Source organism: Homo sapiens, chromosome 3 (genome assembly GCF_000001405.40).
Source record: "Homo sapiens chromosome 3, GRCh38.p14 Primary Assembly".
Taxonomy (NCBI): Eukaryota; Metazoa; Chordata; class Mammalia; order Primates; family Hominidae; genus Homo; species Homo sapiens.
In genome coordinates, this window is record NC_000003.12 from 2735825 (window position 1) to 2759177 (window position 23353).

Sequence of the window (23353 nt, forward strand, 5' to 3'; positions counted from 1 at the left end):
AAAATGTTAGCTTTATGACACTAGACAGCCATCCACAATGACAGTAGCACAAAAGGGATACGGGAAGCACAAAGTAAAGGGGTAGGCTAAAGACAAGCAGAACAATACATAGAAGAGAGAAAGGGAGACGTCAAGCAGCCTGCGCCTGGAAGTTGTTAGTAAAATTAGTGACCAATGTGAAATAAGAGGGCTTATATTTTCACTTCATCATAATCCACAGAAGATTAACCTTCAATGGGAAATTTTCTTCTAGAAGCTGAAACACAGCCTGTTGTGCCTTACTATTTTTTGTTAATTTCTTTCTATTATTTTCCTTATGTTGTTGTTTCCTGTTGTTGTTCCTATTTGGAAGGGATTCTTCATTTTGGACATTTTCTCTTCTCATTTCAGATGATTCCACACTGCATGGCCCGATTTTTATTCAAGAACCAAGTCCTGTAATGTTCCCTTTGGATTCTGAGGAGAAAAAAGTGAAGCTCAATTGTGAAGTTAAAGGAAATCCAAAACCTCATATCAGGTTTGTTGATGTAAAAGCATGTGTTTCCATGCATATAGTTTCTGTTATTAAAATCAACAAATACTTATACAATGCTGGTTACATAAAGAGCTTTTATTTATTTATTTTATTTTATTTTATTTTATATATTTATATTTTTGGGACCGAGTTTTGCTCTTGTTGCCCAGGCTGGAGTGTAATGGTGTGATCTCAGCTCACCACAACCTCCGCCTCCCAGGTTCAAGCGATTCTCCTGCCTCAGCCTCCCGAGTAGCTGGAATTACAGGCATGCACCACCACGCCCGGCTAATTTTGCATTTTTAGTAAAGACAGGGTTTCTCTGTGTTGGTCAGGCTGGTCTTGAACTCCCAACCTCAGGTGATCCACCTGCTTCAGCCTCCCAAAGTGCTGGGATTACAGGCGTGAGCCACCACACCCGGACCAAGAGCTTTTATTTATTTATTTATTTATTTATTTATTTATTTATTTAGAGACGGAGTCTCGCTCTGTCAGGAGTGCAGTGTGCGACCACTGCTCACTGCAACCTCTGCCTCCCAGGTTCAAGTGATTCTCCTGCCTCAGCCTCCTGAGTAGCTAGGATTACAGATGTGTGCCACCATGCCCAGCTAATCTTTGTATTTTTAGCAGAGACAGGATTTCATCATGTTGACCAGGCTGATCTTGAATTCCTGACCTCAAGAGATCTGCTAGCCTGAGCCTTCTAAAGTGCTGGGATTACAAGCATGAGCCACTGTGCCCAGCCATATTTTTATTTTTCGAGACAGGGTCTCCCTCTGTCACCCAGGCTGAAGTGGATTGGCTCAGTCTTGGCTCACTACAACCTCCCCCTCCCGGGTTAAAGGGACTCTGGCACCTCAGCCTCCTGAGTAGCTGGGATTATAGGTTTGCACCACCATGCCCAGCTAATTTTGGTATTTTCAGTAGAGATGGGGTTTCACCATGTTGGCCAAACTGGTCTCGTATTCCTGACCTCAAGTGATCTGCCCGCCTCGGCCTCCCAAAGTGCTGGGATTACAGGCATGAACCACCACGCCCAGCCCGTAAAGAGCTTTTAGACAGGCATCATAGATATCCTGAAAGTCTAAGGAGATGATTGTTTCCTGAAAAGCTAAGTACCCAACCTCTGTTTTTCGTAGTGCTGGGAATTAAATATCCTGATTGACTTTCTCTTTGAAAACATTAACAATTCATAACCACATATATTTAACTTAATAAACATATTTTAAACTATATCAGTAAACTGGCAGGAAAGTAAGAAATGTCAGAAGTCTACAAGTAAGTGGGTTTGGAACCGAAAGAAGTAAGCTGAACAATAAAGACAGTTTTCATGTTAATAAACTACAAGTATGAATTGAGCTTTGGTTTTCATGGCTTCAGAGAACAGAGGTCACAAGACAAAGCCTAGACAACCCACAGGAGAATCCAACATGAGAACATCTCCCAGAATAAACCTGGGATACAAGGGCTACATCTTTACAGTAAATGTGAACAAGAAATAAGCTTGACTTCCAAAGAGACTCAAAAGCACAGGTAATTGTGTCTTTCAAACATTAAACCTTAGTGGTTCTAGTAGCAGATGAAATACAACCGAAAAGAATTTGTAAACTGCAAGATAGGTCTGAAGAAATCCTCCAGAGGCAGCAGAAAGAGACAAAGGGAAGCAAAATACTTTAAAAAGAAAGAGAGAAAAAATGTCTACTCAGGATTCCAGAAGAAGCATCAAGAAAGACTGAGGCAGAAGCAATATTTAAAGAGAAGGCTAAGAATTTTCCAAACTAATTGAAACTTTCAAGCCGTAGCTATAGGAAGCCCAATGCACTTCAAGCAGTACAAATAAAAATGAAGCCACATCTAAAATAGTGAAATGGTAGAACACCGAGTCAAACAGATTATCATAAAAGTAACCAAACTTGTAATACAGATGACATTCAAAGAGATCACAAACTGGCAGCTGACTTCTCAATAGCAACAAAAAATCAGGAGACAGAAGATAAAATATTCAGTACAGTGAGAGAAACTGTCAAATGTATGGATAGCCTAAATACTTCTTTTAAAGCAAAACAAAATAACTACATTTTTAGGCAGACGGCAACCAAAATCTGACTCCAGCAGACCCTCACTAAAGGAAATTTTAAAAGACATACTTGAGGTGGAAGAGAAATGATTCCAGATAGAAGAGCTGAGCTACAAGAATAAATAAGTAAAGCAAATGGTAAATGTTAGTAATTCCACAAAAAAATTTATTGCACAGAACAATAAAAATAATAAAAAGAATACTGTCTTGTGAAGATAAAAAGAAAAGTTAAAATTCATGACAACATTAGAAACAAATTTTTAAAAGATGTACTAGACAATGGATTGTCTATATGGTTAAAGAAATAAAATTGGAACCCTACTGCGCAGCATACACAAAAATCAATTCCGAGTGTATAGAAGACCTAAATGGGAAATTTGCAATACTTTTAAAAGCAGATGGGTTTACATATTTATGACTTTGGGGAAGGAAGAGATTTTCTAAATATGACAGAAAAAATACAACTTATAAAAGAAAATATTTAACTGTATTAATATTGAAAACTTATGTTCAATAGAATATACTGAAATAAACAAAATTACAAGCTGTAAACTTGAAGAAGATTTTTAAGTATATTTGTTATGGGTAAGGGATTCATATCCAGACTATTTAAAGAATTTCCACAAACAGAATGTAAAAAACAACCTAGTGGAAACATTAGCTAAACACTTTAACAAGTATTTCTAGGAAAATGAAAACCAAAAATTCAGTAAACATAAAAAGATTGTCAATATCATTAGTGAACAGAAATATATAATTAAAACTACAACGACATACTCTTTCAAAACTACCAGATTGACAAATTTAGAAAACTGACAATCTGTTGGTGAAGATGAAGAGCAAACAGAACCCTTGATTGAACACTGCTGGTAGCAATTTAAATTGGTAAAAGCCATTAAAAAAAAAAACACTCCCTAGTAAAGCTAAAGGTGCACGTACTCTATGATCCAGTGTATATGATTATGTTCATAGTATATTCACAAATACACATAACCTGGTATGTTCGTACAAGGTAACCTCATACAGTAGTAAAAATGAATGAATGACAGCTGCAACAAATGGGTAGATCTCAAGAACATAATTTTGAGTAAACCAGTTCACAGCCAAATGCATAGTATGTAATTTCATATTCATAAAATTTGAAAGTGGTTGAGATGGAGTGGTTGTTCAAGGTATAGAGGAAGTAACAGAGGAAGCAAAACTTTACCCCTCCTCTCTTAGGATTTTTCAGCTAAGCCTGAGAATTAAATTAACATAAAGCAGATCAAAAGGAGAAAAACATATTTATTTAATACAAGTTTTACATGGCAAGGAAGCCTTCATAAGAAAATGAAAACCCAGAGATGCAGTTATCGTTGCACATTTATTTACTGAATTGGACAAAGAGTAGTAAATTGTGAAAAAGTAACTAAGTTATGTGGGGAGCTAGAAGAAAATATTTTAACAAGGTCTGGACAGAGTTTTCTCTGTCTCAACTTCCTGTCCTTGATGGAAAGAACGTTACTTTCCTTCTAATATAGAAAGGACATCTTTGGCATGGGGATTTTATCCTTGCTTTTTAGAAAAAGAATGAAGGTGAAAGTGGTCGTCTTGTACCTGCTGTTTTCCAAGTACCTTTTTTTTTCCCCCAAGTACCTTTAACTCAAAATAGTCAATATAGGCAGGGCACAGTGGCTCACGCCTGTAATCCCAACACTTTGGGAGGCTGAGGCAGGAGGATGGCTTGAGGCCAGGAGTTTGAGACCAACCTGGGCAACATAGCAAGACCCCCATCTCTACAAAAATAATTTAAAAATTAGTTGGCCATGGGGGTGCACACCTGTAGTCTCAGCTAGTCAGGAGGCTGAGGTGGGAAGATCGCTTGAGTCTAGGAGTTCCAGGCTGCAGTGAGCTATGATTGCACCACTACATTCCATCATGGGTGACAGAGCAGGAACCGGTCTCTAAATAAATAAATAAATAAAAGTCAGTATGCCAGAGCAGCATATTTTTGGGTGGCATGCTCTGAACTCCTTCAAATGATAACATACATGATAAAATTATAAAGAATATCACGGGAATGGAAAAGCCAAAATTAAAGATTATAATTAACCATTAAGAAGGAGTGGTATAATCAAAGTAGATACAGCAGACTTCTAAAGTAATAATATCACTTTTAAACACAGATCTTCATTGGCTTATGATTTTTATAACTTACATACATCTTATAAATATTATGCCTCTATTCAAATTTGATAATGAAAAACTTTAACAACTACTATCTAATATTATGTAAAAAACAAATATATATGTCATAGTTTAGGAGAGACTGGAGTCATCAGGTAGGGTTCTCAGAAGAAATGGGATATGAACTGAGATAAGTAATTTTCAAATAGGCAGAGGGTAAAGGACATTGTATTCAAGTTAAAGGACGGCAGTATTAGTATAGTGGATATTATTTTAGAATTTACTTTACATGCTCATTTATCCATTTGTTCATTTATCAAACATATTCATTATTCATCCTTCAAACCTCACCAGTGTTTTTCAAACAGAATTCCAGGGCACATGGAATTGGCTTAAAGATCACCAGAGAAAGAAAATAACAGAATTTTCATCCAAGATTCAGCCTTTGCAGCTCTACTTTGAACTAGCCCATATATTAGGATTCTGAAAAATACGTCATATAGACAAAGTATTTAAACCACTCTATTAAGCAGCTGCAATGTACCAGTCAGCATGCTAGGTCTGAGTATTCAAAGATTAATCAACTCTACAACATGCTTACTAGTACTGTTAATTTGAGGACTGCCTAGATGTGGACGTAGTTGGAGTAGAATGATGTAACTACAAGTAAAGGATGACCAAGTTCTAGGTATTCTGGAGGAAAGAAAGTCTAATTCAGGATGGCGAAGGTAGATGTCACTGAAGTCTTCACAGAAAAGGAGATATTTTAATATATTTGGAGGGTGAATGGTTCTTTCATCACATGGATAAGGAAAAGAAGTGCATTCCAGAAAGTAAGAAAACAACAACTCTCTAATGGACCATATAATTAGGGTGAACATGTAATTTATCATCTGAGGTCACTTTTTAAAGCAGAAGGCCGCTGTTCATAATTATTCTAGGACAGCAGGTGTAAACCAAGCACTTGTCTTGGGCAAGCCAGAATGAATAGTTACTCTCCCTAGAATATATTAAACCCAAGGCTAAATCAAAGATTTTTAAATACTTTGTGTAGTAAAGAATGCAGGAAGCAACGGCTGTTAGGTACACACATGATGAGTTAACTGGTCCTTGTTTGCCTTGCGTAGCCAAGTGTAAGGTCAGATGTTAGCCGTAAATGAAAACACATTTTGCAGCAGAATTTGGCAAGTGCTGCTTTGTTTTCCCCCAAACTGTGACCTTTAATTAACATTGCTTTTGTAACACTGTGTTTCTAGATATAGGAGTTTGCCTTGTTATTTAAAGCAAGCAGTGAAACAGAAACCTATTATGTTTTTAGATTTCCAGGAAACACTGAGAACAAAACTTTTTAATCAAATGCACTAGCAATTTATTGCAGTATACTTCTTGCCTTTATGCCTTTGGCAGTGTCTCTGTAACATAATAGCAGACTGGTACCTGGGAGCTAAAGCATTCCTCTTGTTGAAAGAAAGAGCAAGACAAAGAATGGAGAGATCAAGTATTTTCAGACACCTTTCTGCCTGAACTTTTTCAGTCTTCAGGCTGAATTTGAGGGGGAAGAACAAGTAGAAGAAATTCCGAAGTGAGTCTCCATGGGGATCTTCAGCACTAGGTTCTCTCCTCAGACACCGCAACTGACCTCTCTTCTTTGTGTTTATTCCCTCAACTGAGCCTTCTCTTTTCATTGTTTCCTGCCCCTCAATTTTGAAAGGATTGACCCAGACCCAGAAAAATTTAAGAAGTTTTAACTTGTGCCAACTTCCCTTATATTAAACTTCCCTAAGGACATATGACATTACTTAATGCACTCAGCATCCCTTTCCAGATAGAAGAAATGTTCACTCACTTGGTCGGAGTACTTTTGCTGAGGTTTGTATTCAACTGAGTTGGCAGAAAACAAATTCCAAGTCATAAATGCCCTGACCTTCCCTTAGTGCCAAGTTGACACCATCAACAAAGAAAGAGGATTTTGCTACAGCGAATCCTATAGATACCCTCCCAGCAAAGCCACAGCATTTTACCCTCCAGAGTGTCACAGCATCGGTGTTTGGTTGTGCACAACCCCACTCTCTGGAGAGAGTGGAGTCGTGGTTCCTCAAATGATTCAGAAATCAGCTTATGAGACTCACAAATTTCTCTTGTCCCTTGGGAAAATCTCTATTGGCTCCAAATGAGCATTGCCTCTATATTACCAACACTTAAAAGATTCCTCACACATTGAAAGTAAATTGTGAAATTTTCAAGCGTGTTTCAGTATACAGTGAGATAAGAAATTCAGTGCAATCCACATTCAATTGGAATGAACAGTGACTGCATTGCAATAAAACTTGGTATAGCGCTTTGTAATAGAGACTCAACTGCATTTCGGAGAAAGCACTTTATTTTCTAAATAATCCCTTTTCGTTTGCTATTTGTATGTAAAAGCAGGCGATAAAGTAGATTAATGGACTTTCTGCACAGCATTTTAGTTGAGATGACTAGTGTAGGAAAACCTACAGAGGAGCTCTCATTATGCCCACAACCACTTTTCTAAAAAGACTCACATGGCCCCACTCCTAAATTCCACACTCTGCTTGCAGCTCACATTATGTTGCGATTTCCTTTTTGAGTTCTTAGATTTGTCATATTAAATTGCTCTACTATCATTTGAAGTAAGAGTTATGGTCAAGACGTGATCAGCTGACTCAAAAAAAAAATGTCTAGGGCAGACAGTCAGTTCTAGAGATTCATGTGCACATAGAGCTGCTAGAATATAACCTGGCTGTTCTGTCTTTATTATACTTTCTTGTCTGTGTCAGAGCACAGAGAATTACTGTGGAGACTAAAAACATTGTCAGTTTCTAATCCCAATCTTCTTATATACAAACACATAAAGAGGTACCTCATGTTTCTATTTCATGCTCCTGGTCTACCTTTCTTACCTCTCTTGTTTCTAAATTGTTACATTTCAAAGACATGAATAAACATGTGTTGCTATGTGGTAGTGTGCTGGAATGCTTCATAAATTGTGGATGTTCAAAGCTAAAATATCCAGCAAAGAAGTGAAATATTTAGTTAATTAAATTCAACCAGCATTTATGGAGCACAATGAGAGTGTTAGATTTTAGATGGCTAAAGTGAGAATACAAAAGTGATTTAGGTAAATTATCTACAGTAAAAGCAGCATTCCTACATAAAGGAGCATGGACAATTCCGTAGGAGATTGGACAAAGCTTTGGTTAATTTTTGTTGTTTTTGTTTTGAGATGAGGTCTCGCTCTGTTGCCCAAGCTGGAGTGCAGTTGCAGTGGTGTGACCTTGGCTCGCTGCAGCCTCAATCTCCCAGGTTCAAGTGGTCCTCCCACCTCAGCCTCCTGAGTAGCTGGGACTACAAGCATGCATGCACCACCACACCTGGCTAAATTTTGTATTTTTTGTGGAGGCAGCGTTGTGCCATGTTGCCCAAGCTATTCTCAAATTCCTGGGCTCAAGAGACCTGCCTGCTTCAGCCTCCCGAAGTGCCGAGATTACAGGCGTGAGCCACCGTGCTTAATCATCTTTGGTTAATTTTGACTAGAAATACTAAGGAAGACTTCATTGAAAGGGGTGTCACTGCAAAATGGCTTTGAAGTGGGACAGAGGTCTTGACAAAAAGAAGGGATTACCCTTCTGTATATTTGCTTTTGTTGATACCAGACATCCAAAATCTTGAAACTAACTCACGTACATTTTTTTCATGTAAATCCTTTTACATTATGTACAGACAACCACAGTACCCAAGAATGTTATAAGATGATACACAGTGAATGTGCATGTGCACACACACAAATATTTAAATGGTGATTTTTACTATTTAAAGGAGATAAGGTTAATGGCTCTCATTCCTTACTCTCATTATGGATTTGGATCAGTTTTGTTTGTGCTGCTGTATCTCTTAATTTTTAACATTCTGGTGTGAATGCTGCTGTGATACTCTTGGTAATTCACAAACTCCTACTATGCTATTTTCGTTAGTTAATATTCTGTGTAAGAGTTGTGGGGGTAAACGAATCGGATAGTGACTGAGTTATATTAGTGCAAACGTTCTGAAGTGTTTAAATGACTTCTGAAAGGAGATTTGGTCAAGAGAAGCTCTCACTCTTTGGAATGGTATTGGTTGTAAAATGAAATAAAAACAAAAACATAGGTCTTATTACCAAAACTTCGCTGTTAAAATGTGTGGGTCCCACTAAACCTGCTTTACTGGGCTAAATACTCTAGTCACATACATAGGTGATCCAGGTAGATAAACAGAAGGACAAAAAACAAAAAACCTGTCTTTGCCCCGATAACCTAATAGCCTAATCTGCAGTTTGCTGGGATGGTTGATTGATGTTTGTGTGCCGGTGGTGAAGGAGCTCTTCAAAGTGATCCACGGTTAAAGCAGGTTTGGTCCCCACAGCAGCTCAAGATCAATAGTTCCTCTGCTTTGCAGCCAGCCATTGCAGTCATATTAAGGACCAAATCAAAGCAACTCTGCTGCAATTTCATCAGATACTTAGCAATCTACCTGGAAATAGTATATGCTGTCATCTGTATAGACCTATTTAAAGAATGATTGCAAACTAGAAGGACTTTTACTGAGGAGCCCCATTTGAAGAAAGCTGCACAGGTGCTATGAGAAATCTGTGGCCCGCCTTCAAAACAGTGAAGTGTTTGTAGCATCATAAGTAGTCAGAAGAACATTTTAATGATATTAAAAAAATTTTAATATCATTGTTTACTTTAAAAGACATGCTCTTTCCATATAAGCACTTAAGATGTCACCATTGCTGGGTAGAGCATTTCTAACTTCTTAATCATGCTTTTTACAAAAGTCACAAATGATTTTTCATGCTATTTATAGTTTTTATATATTTTAGACAATTCAGAAATATTGATTAATATGACAAGACTTTATCTACTGGCATTTTTATACTATAGGTGGAAGTTAAATGGAACAGATGTTGACACTGGTATGGATTTCCGCTACAGTGTTGTTGAAGGGAGCTTGTTGATCAATAACCCCAATAAAACCCAAGATGCTGGAACGTACCAGTGCACAGCGACAAACTCGTTTGGAACAATTGTTAGCAGAGAAGCAAAGCTTCAGTTTGCTTGTAAGTAGCAATTATACAATGCTGCAAATGTTGCTTTCAGTTTGTGTACCATTATACCAATAAGCTTTTATAGCAGTTTCATTTTAGAGACTAGATTTTAATTGGTTACATGATCATCTTTACTCTTTTTCACATTTTGGAAACAATTTTATTTGTAGGATAAACTGTAAATCTAAGTGAGAAGATGTATTCTTCTACTTCGATAAGGATTGAGATAGTTGATTGTATGATAATTTGATTATATGATGCTTTCTTTATATACAAATAAATTCACACACTGAGATTGACACATGTATAAATTTATGTAAACAACAAATTTGACACCCACACACACCCACACACACACATTTTAAATAGAATGTGTATAAGCAAGCAATTGAACAAATTTTACACACACACACACACACACACACATTTTAAATAGAATGTGTATAAGCGAGCAATTGAGCTGCCAGTAATTTAGTAGAGTCAATAAGAGAAATACTTTAACGATAAAGGTGAGAGTTGGAAAAAAACTCAGTAGTCAATTAATCCTACAATTCTCTAATTGTTTCCTATTTCACAGAGTTGAAAAAATTTAAAGCAACTGTAATAATGACAAAAACATGGAGACAAAGTGTTATCCACCTTTGATATTTCCAGCTTAAAATGTTTAAAAAAACAAATAACCGTGTCTTAAGACCACCATTTAACAAAAGTCCATGAATATATGAAAGAAAGTGGAATTTAGAAATCACAATTTGAAAATAAAATCCATAGGCAAGAGCAATTAGCATACATTTGGGTATAGCCACCTTTGAGGATTGAGGTTCAGCTACATTTTTAAGGGTTTATGTATTTGCATGTGATTATATATTTCCTTGTGTGAAATCCCAACTCATATAGCAGTGAATTTTGGCATTAGCCAAAGGTTTCATAAAGTCTGCTGGCAGTAACACTGTAGAATATTCTCATTAACAAAATCCTCTCCAGGAACTCAACATCCAATATACCTAATATCCAGTTCCTAATCTATTAATGCCATTTGGTGGCATTTTTATAAGTTGGGAAATGAATTTTCTAAGTATTATGTATATGCGAGATTCCAGGATTATTCTGTTAGTGAATGTCTCTTGAGATAGTCTTCTAAATATTCGTAGGTGTTTAGAATAATAGGAGAATAATATGTGTGATTGAATGTAACAGAACCAAAGTGTTTCTTTCTCTTGGTTTAATACAAGTCTTGTATCTATATTGATTTTTTAGTAATGACAAATCTTGCTAAATTAATTTTTGGAAATAACCATAGGATCATGTACTCTCAGAGTACGGGAAAATCTCATTATTTAGTAAATCTTGTAATTCTTTGAATTTTGGATGTCATAGTGTAGGAAATGTTTAACACAGTATAACACCAAAAAAAAAAAAATGGAGATGGAAATATTGTATCTGGGCCAGCGCGGTGGCTCACGCCTGTAATCCCAGCATTTTGGGAGGCCGAGGCGGGCGGATCACGAGGTCAGGAGATCGAGACCATCCTGGCTAACACGATGAAACCGCGTCTCTACTAAAAATACAAAAAATTAGCCGGGCGCAGTGGCAGGTGCCTGTAGTCCCAGCTGCTCGGGAGGCTGAGGCAGGAGAATGGCGGGAACCCGGGAGGCGGAGCTTGCAGTGAGCCGAGATGGCGCCACTGGACTCCAGCCTGGGCGACAGAGCGAGACTCCGTCTAAAAAAAAAAATAAAAATAAAAATAAAAAATAAAATACTATACCCAAACTTCTTTATTGACAGCTTACATTTAAAAAAAAAAAATTACCAGCTCTTAAGATTATCCTTTTGTAAAAGACCGGGCATTTTACTACCAAAACATCAGAAAGATAGAATCTCATATTCAAGGACAGTCATTTACATAGAATAGTTTAACCAAAACAAAAAACAAAACAAAACAAACAAACAAACAAAAAGCTCTACCACTCAGTTCGTGGTGGGTTGACCTGAGGACCTACCAGGAAATGGAATCCACTTTGCTCATTCCACTTCATGTGTGATGTAGGCATTCCTCCCACCCTCAAAATCCTTGGCTGATCATCATTTGGTTTGAAAAATTCTAGTGACAGAAAGTTCACCAATTCATCACGAGGCACCCTGGCCCACAGCAGACTGCTCTACTTGTTCAAAAATACAAAAACAAACTTGACATCTCTTTCTTAAAATTGAGCCAAATATCTCAATTTCTATCACATTCACTCCCAATTCTTACTTTAAAGATGCTGGTTACTCTTCAAATATGTGAAGATATGATCATGTCCCTTGTCCCATAATTCTTTTCTTCCCAATTAATTAATCCACAGCCATCTTCTTCACAACACACTCAATTATGTTAATTCATCTATTGCAGCCTTATGGAAATGCACAGAATTCCATATATGTGTCTTAACTTTTGCAAAGGACACTGGGGACAGTAGTATCTCATGATGTGAACTTTTTTCAGTTAATGAAGCTGACAATAATATTTATTTAATCTTCATTTTTAAGTACCAGCCCCAGATTGCAACTTTATTTTAAACATATAATCATGTAAAATCTGAGAAAGTATTTCTTATAAATTCCTATTCATCCAGTGCTACCCAACCACGTTGTTTTATTAACCTAAATTCAGAATATTGTATTTACCCCTAATAAATTCATGTTCTGAGTAGTGACCCTTTGTTCCATCATATCTGAAATTGCTTTAAGTCTTTTTTTTCAATCAGACATAATGATTGTTCTCCTAGTTTAGTGTCAGCAGAAAATTTGATAAGCATATCTCCATTCAAATAATTGATATAACATGTTGACCAGGACAGGGCAGCATGTCACTAGAGAATTTCCACTAAAATGAAATTAAACCTTTAATTTAATATTATTTGGACACTCTTGTTCAACCAGCTACAAATTTAGCCAAATATACTATAATCGAACTCCAATTTCATCCACGTGTTTTTAAAGTAGTGAGAATCTTTGCTAAAGCCTTGCTAAAATCAACATGTATTGTTTCTGCAACATCCAGTCCTACCTGCTCCGTCTGCATCGTCTTGAGCCTTTCCTTAACCATTTATCCTAAAACTGCCAGAGTAATCTTTTAAAAAATGTAAATTAGATCATTCCGCTTCCCTGCTTTATGCCTTCTACTGTACTTAGAATAAATCTCAAACTCATTACCATGGTCTCATTTTAATTTCTCAAAAATGACAAACTATTTTTTGCAACAGGATCTTGATACTTTTGTTCCCTCTGCCTGATCAGCTTTTCTCATGATCTTTCACACAGCTGACTTCTTATGATCCTCACTTCTCAATTTAGGTATGACCTCCTGAGAGAAAGTTTCCGTGTCACCCTGTCTAACATAACAAGCAATTTCCATCATTTCTCCTCCTCTCTGCTGACCTTCCTCCAGCCCTCTACTTTTACATAACAGTATCTTCTATTTCACTTACCAGAATTTTTTGTTTTTTTATTTTTTGAGACTGAGTCTTGCTCCGTCGCCCTAGCTGGAGTGCAGTGGTGCGACCTCAGCTCACTGCAACCTCCACCTCCTGGGTTCAAGCTATTCTGCCTCAGCCTCCAAAGTAGCTGGGATTACAGGCTCACACCACCATGCCCAGATAAGTTTTTTTTTTTTTTTTGTATTTTTAGTAGAGATGGGGTTTCACCATGTTGGCCAGGCTGGTTTCGAACTCCTGATCTCAAGTGATCCACCCGCCTCAGCCTCCCAACAAGGTGAGATTACACTTTGCCCAGCTCATTTACCAGAATTTAATACAATCTAGAATGATTGTGTATTTACTTTTTTCTCATTTATTATTTCACTCCTATGGCAGAACGTATATTTTAAGAGAACTGAGACTATCTTGTCCATCCTTTTATTTCCTAGCCATTTATATGTTTGAATAAAGGAATTCCTGTGTTACGTGCCTGTTCAGTAACACAACAAAGAAAATATATGTATAAAGTTAATTTGAGGGTGATGTATTTTTATATACCCAAACCCACCCTTTCTATTCTTGTAATTTTCTGGAGTTTATCTTTTTGATCATTGATCCATAGTTTCTAGATGTTTTTCCCTATCTTTTGTAAATTAAAAGAAAATCAAAAGACATTGCCTATATTCAGAATTCACTTTCAATTGATTAGGATAAAATCCTTTTCTTCAGTGAATTAATAAAAGTGAGGCAAGACAGTGACATCTTTTGAATGTTACTAGTTTCTTTGACTCCACGTATTGTCATACTCATTGAAGGAAAAAAAAATGTTGCTTTTTGGCCACACTTACTGCACTATACCATGCAAGTGAGAATATTTCTTCCTCTTTAATCATACAATTTTATGGTTAAAAAAGACATTAAAGGTCTCCTGGCCTGTATCTTTTTAAAAATGAAATTGAAGATTAGAGTAACGGAATTACTCATTGTTAATACATAGTTAAGAAGCTACAGAGCCAAGGAAAGGCAGTCTTCAGCTCCCAGTTTCATGCATGCTGGCCCTACTTTGCTTTAGATTTACTCTAATTTATGAGAAAAACAACCTTCACTTTATTTACCATGTTACAATTTTCAAATCTCATTTACATACTTTCTATAATTTTATTCAGAAGATAGTCTTATAAGGTAGACATTATTTCTATTGATTATTAAAAATGTTTTCATGCTGCTTTTGTGCACAGAACTTAGTCATGTCTTGTATTAGCATTTAGCATTTTTAAGTTGAATTAATTCACATAAGCAAAATTTATAGCTAACTAGAGATGAGACCACTAAGAACTTGCTCTTCCTCCCACTTTTTAAAGTCAATATATTTAAAATAGAAATCCTTCTTTGATTAAATAAGGATAGCATAATTTAAGTCCCCCTTGATGAGATATGGATAAGCATACATTATTGTAATGTAATTGGGAGCACATTTTGTTTTTCAGTCTCTCTGCAGCATTAAGCCATCAGCAATCACTCCCCTCACTGTCACTTAGCCTACTACCATACCCTTTCTACCTTTTAGCCCTTCTATTTCACCTAGGGCTACAAATATGATTGACTAGATCCTCTGTGCCTGGCACTTAATAAACTTGAAATAATGGTTGCTGAATGAATAGGAATTAGACATTAAAGTCATCATGCCATGTGTGGGGCATAAGGAATGAGTTGAACCACTGAGTCAAGCACGTTCTGATGGTCCTTTGGAGTGAATTGGAGGTGAGAGCAAGCATTCTCACCTTGAGGTTGATACAGAAGACAGTTGACATCTTAATTCCTTATAAGTGTTTCTATTGGTGTGGCAGGCGTTGGCCCACATTAAAAGGATGCTTATGGCCAGGCGCGATGGCTCATGCCTATAATTCCAGCCCTTTGGGAGGCCGAGGCGAGTGGATCACGAGGTCAGGAGATTGAGACCATCCTGGCTAACATGGTGAAACCCCATCTCTACTAAAAAAATACAAAAAAAAAAATTAGCCAGGCATGGTGGCGGGCACCTGTAGTCCCAGCTACTCGGGAGGCTGAGGCAGGAGAATGGCTTGAACCTGGGAGGCAGAGCTTGCTGTGAGCCGAGATCACACCAGTGCACTCCAGCCTGGGCGACAGAGAGAGACTCAGCGAGACTCCGTCTCAAAAAATAAAAATAAAAAAAATAAAGATGCTCATGTATGGAATGAATCAAACAAGCCCTCAAAGTTCGCTTTTACCCTGGAAAGTCAGCCTGAGACTACGCACAGCTTCATGAAGTGTTTCAAAGGAAAGCTCCTTTGAGCTTAAGCATACCTCCCCAACCTTCATTCACTCTACACTCCCTTTCGTCCAGGAGCAAAACCAAGTTGAATACTTCAAAAAGTTCTTCCATAGACGAATAAATCAGAAGATAAGGCCTAAAGAGGAGGGGATTTCAGTTCGTTATTTGCACAGCTTAACGAAGGGGATGTTTCCAGAGCTTGTGTCTATACAGAATGAAGTGCTATAGCTCCATCACCCTAGCTGCCCACTTTTGCAGCCCAGCATCCCGGTCTAAATCTGCTTGAGGATCTTTGTGCACAGTCACTCAACACAGCAACTTTTCTCTGTCATATAAACACTGATATTTATTTTAAAAAAATAAATTTCAGTACACACCCCTACACTCATAAACAATACAAATCCTCATTTTTTTTTAACTTAGGAATGTGGGCTTGAGAAGATGAGATGTTATATTGACTAAGTTTAGAGGGAATCAAATGTCGTTAATTGTTCCATTTCATTCTATGTGTCCTGTGTCTCTAGAACTCCAGCTTCTCAATACCACTACACTTCCCTTTTAAGGTTGTTAGCAAGATTACATTGTAAAGCATATGTAAAATCCCAGAATCATTTCCAACATAGGAAAGTTATACAATAACTGCTTCTGTGTTTTTTTGTCTGTTCTCTCTTCCATTCCCCTTTCTGTCCCTCCATGTCCTGTCTTTTTAAAATAACTATCACTTACAAAAACTTAATTGACTCATAGTAACTGCATGTATTTATGGGTTACAGTGTGATACTTCAATACCTGTATGCAATGTGTAAATGATCAAATCAGAGTAATTAGCATACGCATCACCTCATGCAACTAAACTATCATTTCTTTGTGTTGGGAACATGCAAAATTCTCTCTTCTGAAAATTAGAGTAAATTGGTTTTTTGTTGTTTTTTGTTTGTGTGTTTGTTGAGGTGGAGTCTCGCTCTGTCACCCAGGCTGCAGTGCAGTGGCACGATCTCGGCTCACTGCAACCTCCACCTCCCGGGTCCAAGCGATTTTACTGCCTCAGCCTCCCATGTAGCTGGGAATACAGGCGCCCACCACCACGCCCAGCTAATGTTTCTATTTTTATAGAGACAGGGTTTCACCGGCCTCGAACTCCTGACCTCAGGTGATCTGCCCATCTCGGCCTCCCAAAGTGCTGGGATTACAGGCGTGAGCCACCGTGCCCAGCTGAGTAAATTGTTCTTAACTGTAGTCACCCTGTGGTACTAGAGAGCACAAGAACTTATCCCTCCTATCTAGCTGTAATTTTTTGTCTGTTAACCAGTCTCTCCCTATCCTTCTTCCTCCCTTCCCCACCTCTAGTTACCACTCTTCTACTGTCTACTCTAATTCTGTCTTACTAAATAAGACCAACTTATTTAGCTTCCACATACAATTGAGAATATGTGGCATTCGTCTTTCTTTGCTTGGCTTATTTCAGTTAGCATAATGTCCTCCAGATTCATCCACGGTGCCATAAATGACAGGATTTCATTCTTTTTATGGCTGAATAATATTCCATTATGTATGTATACTTCATTTTCTTGATCCATTCATCCATTGATGGGCACTTAGGTTGATTCCATATTTTGGCTATTGTCAATAGTGCTGCAATAAATATGAAAGTGCCAATATATCTTTGATATATTGATTTCCTTTCTTTTGAATATATACCCAGTTGTGGAATTGCTGGATCACATGAATAACTACCATTGTATACCTAAGTATAGTTGATAAGAGCACAAGCCCTGGAGTCAGACTCCTTGGATTCAAATTCAGCTTCTATAATTTCGTGAGCTTGAACAAGGTACTTTTTTCTGCCCCAGGTTGTTTACCTCCTTTGTTGTGAGGATCAAATCCATTAATAATTGTTAAACTCCTAGATCATTGTTTAGCAAATAGTCAGGGCATAATAAATGTTATAATGTGAATACTCTATGTTGGATATTATACTAAGCACTTTGGAAGCATTATTCCATTTAGTTCTCAACACAACCCAATGAAGCACAGATATTACTTTTATTTTATAGGTGAAGAACATGAAAATTAATGATGTGAAATAACTTTCACCAAGGATACAGCAGTGGGAGAAGGGACCAGCATAGGAACCTGGTCACCTGAGTCTTGAGCAGATGCCTGTTATATGGCATTTTACATGCATGGCTTCCCTTATGCTGTGAAAAACTACACTTTACCAGTGAAATTTATGTTCAATCCGTAGATTTGGGTGGTTGGTGAAATGTTTCCTTTGTACACAAACTTGAATTTTTTGTTGCATTAACAATCTTTGATATAGTAAGTACATCCATCATATATTTGCTTTTGTTTTTAATTTTTTAGTTGTAGGTATTCTTGATGCCATCATACTGTTGATTTACTGTGAACATCTAAAAGCATAATGTTACATGCAATGACTATACATAAATTTGTGGACTCTAATTTTAATATAATTGGTTTCAGGTTTTATAATGAGAATAATTAATAACAATATTTCTGCTCTAAAAGTTAAGATGCAGATTTCCAATTTATTGCAAGTAGGCTGTAAAGCATTTTGAATATTGATATTTTATGGTGAATAACTGGTTGGTAAACTGTTTATCCCCAAGCAGTAAATGAAATATTTGTATAAGCTTCTTACTCCCATATCATTTCTCCCCTACATGTGAGAAAGATGAACTTTAAATGTAGATTATTATGAAGAGCTTCCCAGAGAATAATCTTAATATCTAATGACTCCAGATTTTAGCCTGTCAAACTGATTACTTTATAAACATTGTTTGGGGCCTTCATCCTGGAATTTTCACTTTCTTGTAGTAGTTCAGATCTGCAAAGCAAAAGACTTAAGCTACTCATCATCTCAGGCTGTAGATGACTGTAAGTCATACATAAGTACTTCCAAATTGCTAATGGTAAAATTAAATCTTTGAACAAAATCTGGCTACCTGCCTGCTGTAGGGAAACTGGCATTATCATGGTCATGGGCAAGGTGGTATTATTCTGGAGGAAGCAAATGGGTGATATCTATGCTTACCTCTATGGATACCTCACTTAAGATGAGGAAAGTAACTAGACTAATACACCATTCATGCCCTACATCTCTACCCTCTGAGCATGTGTTAAGGGGAAGGGCATAGAAGATGAAAAGTATTTTTAAAAAATGGAAAAATGGAGATGTTAAGTGAAAGGAGTGCTTACGTACAAAAGCCACTTCATTTTGGCCTTCCTGTGACTTCAAGCAAGCAATCTATGAATAAAGTAACTCTTCTGCTGTTGCGGAATGAAGTGAAAAAAAAAAAAAGAAAAGAAAAAATTTTAAAAAGAGAGTAATGTAACACAATAAATCACTCCATTCTGAGGTTAATTTAAGTTAGCCTTATCAGTTAAGTGGCAAACATTTTTTATGGTGAAAATATCAATTGAATAAACAGCAACTGATTAGATAGTCTCATTGAAAAAGATCTTTCTTATGACTACTACAGCGAGCCTTAATCTGAGTTCTCTTTAACTGGGGCACACTCTGACAACTGTAATGATGGTGGTGGTAGTGGTAGTGGTGGTGGTGATAGAAAACTTTATTAAACTGAGAATGTATTGTATTCTCACTGGGAATTTTGGCAACCTGATTTTTGAGCCCAGATCCTTGCTTCTATTCACGGTAATTTTCAAATGTTCATTGCTTTTAATATCTAATAACTAGCTTATCCTTCATAGCCAATGAGTAAAATGTGCAGTCGATCAGAACAGTAGCTGGGAGTTTGATACACGGCTAAACTCATAACTGGCCTGACTACTTTTTAATTTGGAAAGCTGCTTAAACAGGCAAACTTTTTTTCTGAGCGATAAAATGTGGATGGATGACTATTTAGATGAATAATCTGTGAATATTTAGATCAACTGAAATGTAATCAACTTTAGAAACATTTGGGTATCAAAAGTAAAAATATTTTTCAATGGAAGGCTTTGATCTTCAATAAAAGGGTAAATACTTTTATTGGAATAGGTAGAAGAAGTCAAACCCAAACTTGCTGAGTTTCTGAAATAATGATAGTTTCTGCCACTGAGTATAGTACTAGACAGAAAGACATTAATGGTGATAATGGGTGTCTATTGAAAATTTCACAAGGTAAATCTTAGGAGCTATTAAAGTACAGATGCTAGTTAATTGTAGCTATTATTAATAGTTTATTATGTATACTTTCTTTTGGTCATCCCACAGTCCAGTTTGGGGACTGATAAAAAGCAGTTTGTGACATAAGACAATCAATGAAGTATAGAGATTGCTTTAAATTCAAGAAGGTTCTGAGAGTATGATATATATATGAAAATTGGCGAATGAAACCTGATGGGGATCCAAGCAAGATTCATCAGACTTTTAAAAAACATGAAGGCTAAAAGAGAACAATTAATATTTTGTATCACCATAAAAAAACCAAGGTACTAAAATATCACTCCTTTTTGTTTCGTTGTTATGAGTAATTCAGTCAACAAATATTAAAATAATTCTGATCATTTTTAAGTTTAATTTTTAGGCACTGAAGGTCAACATTCATGTGTTGCCATTCGGGGAAAAGGGAGACCACTTTCTGAATGATTGAAAATGTCACAATTGCTCTAATTATATCAATATCCTTTTCTTCAAGAATTTTCATTTGAGAGGTTATGGTGCTGTAGTACATATATTTTCACTTGTGGTTAAGTCAGAATCTAATTGACTAACTATAGTGATTTGAATGGTACCTGCTATAGACTGAATATTTATATCTCCAAAATGCCTATGTTGAAATCCTAACCCCAGTGTGATCATATGAGGAGGTGGGGCCTTTGGTGGTGATTAGGTCATGAGGGATCTGCCCTTGTAAATGGGATCAGTGCCCTTATAAAAGTGATTCCTAAGAGCTCCCTTGCTCCTTCTGCCATGTGAGTGAGAAGGTGGCAGTCAGTGAAACAGGAAGAGAGCCCTCACAAGGCAAGAAATCTGCTAGCACCTTGATCTTGGACTTCCCAGCCTCCAGAACTGTGAGAAATACATTTCTGTTAAGTTTCCCAGTCTATTGTGTTATAGCAGCCCTAACAGACTAAAACTGTAACTCTCAAAAAATGTGTCTACCTGGAAACTGTGAAAGTGACCTTATTTGGAAAAACGGTCTTTCCAGATGTAATTAAGTAGATGACATCTTCCAAAATCACCCAGATGGACCATAAATTCAATATCAAGTGTCCTCATAAGAGAGTGAGGAGAAAACACAGGAGAGAAAGAGACTATGTTACCATGGAGGCAGAGATTGGAATGATCCAGCAGGGGAAACCAGTGATTGCTGAAAGCCACCAGAAGCTAGAAGAAGCAGGGAAAGATTCTCTCCTAGAGCCTTCGAAGGTGCCCAGCACTGCTGACAACTTGATTTCGGGTATCTAGCTTCCAGAACTGCGAGAGAATAAATTTTTTTTTTAAGCCATTCAATCTGTGGTAACTTGTTTGCAGTGGTTCCAGGAAACAAACAGGCCAACATATGCACAATTCTTTTTCATTTCTTTCCTGACCACTTTGATCAATTTTTTAAAAAAATCTTTGAATGAGATCAAAATCAGGTGCTTTTGTAACTTAACTGTATTAGGGTGAAAAGTATTAAAGAAATGGCCTCTATCAAATGTAGGATTATCTGTGCAAGTTTTGTCTCACACTATGCATTTTCCCCTGGAGAGCATAACAGAGTTTTGAACTTTATAAAGTATGATTTGACCAGATAATGAAATGGGGACTGCAAAAAATTCAAAGGGTAACCTTTCCCTTTCCCGGGTATGTTTTTACCTCTCACTTGGAACAGACCTCTGCAGGCCTTCTCTGAAATAGGCAGAATTGGCCCTTTCTCCATAGGGCAATGATTTGAAGTGATGCGGAGTAGTTTGTTGGCCCTGAGTCCCGCTCTCTGGACTTCTTCCGTTTTCTAGGTCATTTTCCCTGAATTCGACCTCTTTGTCTGGCACTCTAAAGCCCTAGAAACTGGCTATTATCACGTTTAGAGTGTCTGACCTACCTGTGGCTGTAACCGTTCCACTGTGGTCTCTCAAGCGATGTTATCGTTGATGTTATGACATTTCTAGCCCCAGAAAGTCCCTGTGCTAGTGAGGGCCAGCTTCCGTCCTCTTCGCAGTCAGCACCTTTCCCGGAGTAGGCTCTAACATAAACAAGGCATTTGCCTTCTAGCTGTCATGTATTTTATGCACCATGCTAGCTAGTTTTTACTTCATGTCTATAATATATATTCACTTTAGAGAAAAAAGTATGCGTTAGGGTTCAGAGGTTAAATCTCAAATTCAAGGGCATCATGAAAAGATGTGTGTGTTTCCCAAGAACTAAATTATTCTGTTACATATTTCACCAAAGATTAAATTCCAAACTAGCCACTAAACTCTCAGTAGATGGCACTGAAGGTAATTTATCCCTGAAATATGTATTTAGGGTACACACTAATTATGATTAGAGTATTAATTTGCTCCTAAATACTTGCATTGTTATCTGTCATTAGCATTTCAGATTTGTTCATTTGTTCATAGCCTCTACTTTTTTTTCCCCTCAAATTGAATGCAGTCTAGTGTGGTAGGTAATCTGTTAGCTCTACCTCATAAAATTTAGATTAATTATATCTTAAAGGCCCTTCTTTATATAGTCCTATAAGTAATGTATATGTTGAGGTGAGGGAGTCAACAAATGGCTTTTCTTATTTCTAAGCGCAATGACTACTTTCTTCTCAAATGCTGAATAATGCCGAATAAATGCTGTTAAGTGATAATGAATGTTGATAAGTGCTGAATAAATATTTGTGGAATAAATGAAGCTGAATGAACCAATGAAGGAATATAAGAGAAACCGAAATGTCTTGGCCTTTACCAGCCTATGAGGTTATATTTCCTCTTGAATATTCTATTTCCTTAAACAAAGAAATAGAATATTCTATTAGGAAGAGCCCTCCAATAAAGGTGCATATTCCATATAGTCTTTCTCATTCACCTAGAAAAAAACTCATTATGAAGGTGTTGCCTCTTACTTTCAACACCATACTTTTTTTTTTTTTTTTTTGAGACGGAGTCTCCCTCTGTCTGCTGGCGTGCAGTGGCGGGATCTCGGCTCACCTCTGCCTCCCAGGATCAAACTATTCGCCTACCTCAGCTTCCTGAGTAGCTGGGATTACAGGCGCACATCACCACACGCAGCTGATTTTTGTATTTTTAGTAGAGACGGGGTTTCACCGTGTTGGCCTGGCTGGTCACAAACTCCAGACCTCAAGTGATCCACCTGCCTCGGCCTCCTAAGGTGCTGGAATTACAGGCGGGAGCCACCTTGCACCTAGCCAGTACCATACTTTTTTTTAGTAACATCTTTGTTAAGATACCATACCATACAATTCATTCATTTAAGGTGTACAATTCAGTGATGTTTAGTTTATTCACGAAGTTGTACAACTGTCACCACTGTCTAATTTCAGAACATTTTCATCCCCCTAAAGATAAAACCTGTAACCGTTAACAGTCACTTTCTGTTCCTTCCAGACCTGATAACCACTAATCTACTGTCTCTGTGGATTTTCCTATTCTGGACATTTCATGTAAATGAAATCGTAATATATGTGGCCTTTTATAACTTGTTTCAGTTATGTTAGCAAGGTTCATCTGTGTCGTAGTGTGTATTAGTACTTCATTTCTTTTTTCTTTTTTTTGAGAT

General features: G+C 37.1%; 1 protein-coding gene across 37 annotated transcripts in view; it reads left to right on the plus strand.

The window, feature by feature from the left end:
- Positions 1 to 23353, plus strand: part of CNTN4 (contactin 4) — a 959094-nt gene that overhangs the window by 636959 nt on the left and 298782 nt on the right. For all 37 annotated transcript variants that reach the window (XM_017005783.2, NM_001350095.2, XM_047447536.1 and 34 more), the window contains 2 exons: positions 391 to 517; positions 9698 to 9873. In XM_017005783.2, the coding sequence (XP_016861272.1) occupies positions 391 to 517; positions 9698 to 9873 (303 nt within the window). The remainder of the gene's footprint in view (positions 1 to 390; positions 518 to 9697; positions 9874 to 23353) is intronic.